This window comes from Homo sapiens, chromosome 12 (genome assembly GCF_000001405.40).
Source record: "Homo sapiens chromosome 12, GRCh38.p14 Primary Assembly".
Classification (NCBI taxonomy): domain Eukaryota; kingdom Metazoa; phylum Chordata; class Mammalia; order Primates; family Hominidae; genus Homo; species Homo sapiens.
This window is the reverse complement of record NC_000012.12, coordinates 127638982-127642558: the sequence shown is the minus strand read 5'-3', so window position 1 is coordinate 127642558 and position 3577 is coordinate 127638982. Positions and strand designations below refer to the sequence as shown.

At 40.5% G+C, this 3577-nt stretch overlaps 1 annotated feature.

Annotated features, from left to right (window-relative positions):
- Positions 1-295: a silencer, noted in NCBI's record as "tiled region #13155; K562 Repressive DNase matched - State 9:DNaseU". NCBI's record gives its function as "represses a minimal TATA promoter and a strong SV40 promoter by Sharpr-MPRA in K562 cells {active_cell/tissue: K562}" and the evidence as "EXISTENCE:reporter gene assay evidence [ECO:0000049][PMID:27701403]".

Sequence of the window (3577 nt, the reverse complement as noted above, 5' to 3'; positions counted from 1 at the left end):
ATTGGTAAGATGGTCCTATGATCAGGTGGTTTGGCCCTTTCTCCTGTGAGATGTGATAGGATGTTCCTTGGACCTTTGCCCAGCGGGATATGGTAGGGACATTCCTTCAGTTGAGCCTTTGCCTGGCAAGGTATGATAAGGATGTTCCTACGCCTTGCGGTCAGGTGGTTAGTAGGATGTTTCTCACGGCCTGAGCCCCGGTGGAATGTTTCACTCTCATCAAGGTCTGTGAAACTGCGGGGGCTTACAAAATGCTGCAGTTTGGACTAACGCCAGCTACATTGAGAATTCTGTTTGATGCTTACATAACTGAAAATCCTCCTGCTACCACTGAATCTTCCTTTCTGACCACTCCCAAAGAAAAGCAGAACTCAGGCAGTAAACCTGAAGCACATAGTGGTAACTAGGTAATGATATTTCATGTTTATCTATTGTATTTACTTCCATAATTACCTTTGATTTTTGACAAGTGATAATGGTTTTCCATTCATCATGTTGGTATAGTTTCCTGTTAGAATGTCCTTTTCAAATATATTTATTTAAGTGACATAAGACTTTTAAATTAAGTAGATTAAGTAATCTACTTAAGTAGATAATAGTACAGCCATTATGGTAATTATAGGAAATTTTGTAAGAATATTTGAGGATGGGGGTGGTGGCTCACCCCTGTAATCCCTGCACTTTGGGAGGCCGAGGTGGGTGGATCACTTGAGATCAGGAGTTCAAGAACAGCCTGGCCAACATCATGAAACCCTCTCTCTACTAAAAATACAAAAATGTAGCCAGGTGTGGTGGCAAGCACCTATAATCCCAGCTACTAGGGAGGCTGAGGCAGGCAGGAGAATCGCTTGAACCCGGGAGGTGGAGGTTGCAGTGAGATCACGCCTGGGCAACAAAGCAAGACTCCGTCTCAAAAAAAAAAAAAAAAAAAAAAAAGAATATTTGACAAAAGACTGAAAATTGGAAAATGCTATTTAAAGCACAGTAGGAGAGACACGGGCTGACAGTGCAGCTAGACCCACACGGTAAACCAGAAAGCTGCCTCCAGATTAATTGATAAGGCAAATTACGTAAACATAAGCCCTGAGCCAGGTCTTGCTTTCCTCTGACAGCATCTGGCCACTCCACAATCAATCCCCAAACACCCAAATTGTTATAATTTTAATCATCAAAATATTGCATTGTTTCAAAGTTTGAGCCAACAATGGCATTTGTTATTAACTACTGCCAAAATTACTGTTATTTCTGAAAACATCCTGATTCAGTTCAGTCATTATTAATCATCTATTGATTTCTTGTTTTTATATTTGAAAGTACAATGACTGAAGAATTCATAGGCTGATATTTTTGTGTACATAACATGCACATCTACACAAACACCCACAGTCAATATTTCACACCCAGAAAAATCTTGTGCTTCACCCTGTGTATTTAACATAGCCTCAAAGGTACAAAAGTCTTGATTTTGGATAGCACATATTGTAACGATGTTTTTCAAAGGGTGCCTGCTTCACTGGTGTTGTACAATATGACTTTACGTGACACCCAGACAGTGTTAAACAACATAAAGTCACATGGGAGACATTTTATTTCATCTTCCATCTTCATTTCAATTCTCTCTCAACCCTTCACATTACACTGAAGAGAAAGTCTCATTTGGGGGATGAAATATTGTTAAGACCTCCAGCCCTCACTGGTTTTCCTTTTAATCAAAGGCAGCATGAGGATCAAGCTCAGCCCCTCTGGAAAGCATCAGAATCTAATAGCAATGGGCATTTTTTACTTTCACCAGTCAGATTGCTTAACTACGGTTAACAGTTGAATGACGTGGATGATGAATTAGCTCTCACAACTGGCGGTCTGGAGACATGCCTTTCTCAGGGATCTAAGGCTCTGTCCGTGCAATTCTTCCAGACTTCCTTAGACAGAAATTCCTGCCTGGGTGCCAAACATCAAATCTATCACCCTCCCAAGCAAGAAGAAAGTGGGGCAAGAAAAAAATGTGTTTTTTTTTTTGAAAGTTCTATCTTGTTTTTCTTATGATTTTTTTTCTTTAATTGTTTATGTTGGCTTGTCTCTTTATTCTTATTTGGCTTTCGTTGTCATTGTTCTTTGCCTGTCCCCATTCCCAAAGCACCACGTCTGACTTCCCCTTTTGCCTCATTGGCCACTATCAGGTCACATGCCTATCCTTAGCCCAATCACTGGCAATGGGGAGTGGTAACACATGTCTGACTCAGACCAATCAGGCTGTACTCCTTGGGACAGGGGATGGGATACCCAGCTACTCTCAGCACAAAATTGAGATTGTTTGGCAGGAAAACAGAAAAGTGGCTTCTGCTTGGGCAATGAATACAGTCAAACACAATTGTTTATATGTACTATTTTTCAGTTTAAATTCCATGTATGACAACAATATAAGACAGAAGAACTGTAAGCTCATCAGAAGAGACACTACATTGCACAAAGGTGGTGTGTGGTGATGCTTGGTACTGAGTGGATTTGGCTAAACTATTAGATAGGATTCCTGGATGGCTGACCCTAGCTGTGTATATTATATTTCATGGGTGATTTGTGCAGGCTTAGAGTTTGTCAGAATAACCCCAGGACCTAGGAGAGATGGTAGAGTAACACTTAATGTTGTTCTTAGTTTTGTTCCTGTCTCTGCCAGAAAGACACTCAATGAGTGCCAGATGGAGAAGCGTCTCTGTTTCCCAGGCGTAACTGGATGTGTGGGAACTGGCAATTGGCATTCAAGGTGCAGCAAAGTTAAGCTGTCCCTCAGGGTAAATCACAGCACAGCCACTCATTCTTATAGTGAGGGGATGCTGGGGCACACCTCTGCACCTCTCAATCCAGTTTTCATTTTTCTCAACTTGGACATAAGATTTCCAGCAAAAGGCTGAGGATCTGTTGTTCCAAAGGAATGAACACATTCTGGATAAGGAAGAGTATGACCAATTGCTCATTAGCCAAAACAAACTAAGGTTTCCGATTCCATAATTTTTTTTTCTTTTCAAATAAGACTGTTGAGAATTCAGAATAGAAGTGCAGCAAAATCGTATACCCTTCTAATTGACAAACATTAATTCTCCATTAGTTACAGTTTGAATTATTAAAATATTGACATCAAATATAATAACTGTCAAATATAGTACTTATGGTATTCAAATAAAATTTAAAAACATCTAACCACACTCTTTTTCCCCCAAATACCTTTTAAATCATTTGATACCCCAGCAATTTGGGAGGCCGAGGCGGGTGGACCATTTGAGGTCAGGAGTTCGAGAACAGCTTGGCCAACATGGTGAAACGCCTTCTCTACTACAAATACAAAAATTAGCTGTGTGTGGTGGTGCATGCCTGTAATCCCAGCTACTTGAGAGGCTGAGGCAGGAGAATTGCTTGAACCTGGGAGGCAGACGTTGCAGTGAGCTGAGATTGCACCACTGCACCCCAACCTGGGCAACAGTGACATTTCATCTCAAAAAAATAAAAAATAAACTAAATAAATAAATAAATCACTTGATAAGACTAAATTGTCACTATCTTATCAGCTCAGTATAAATGTGGACCT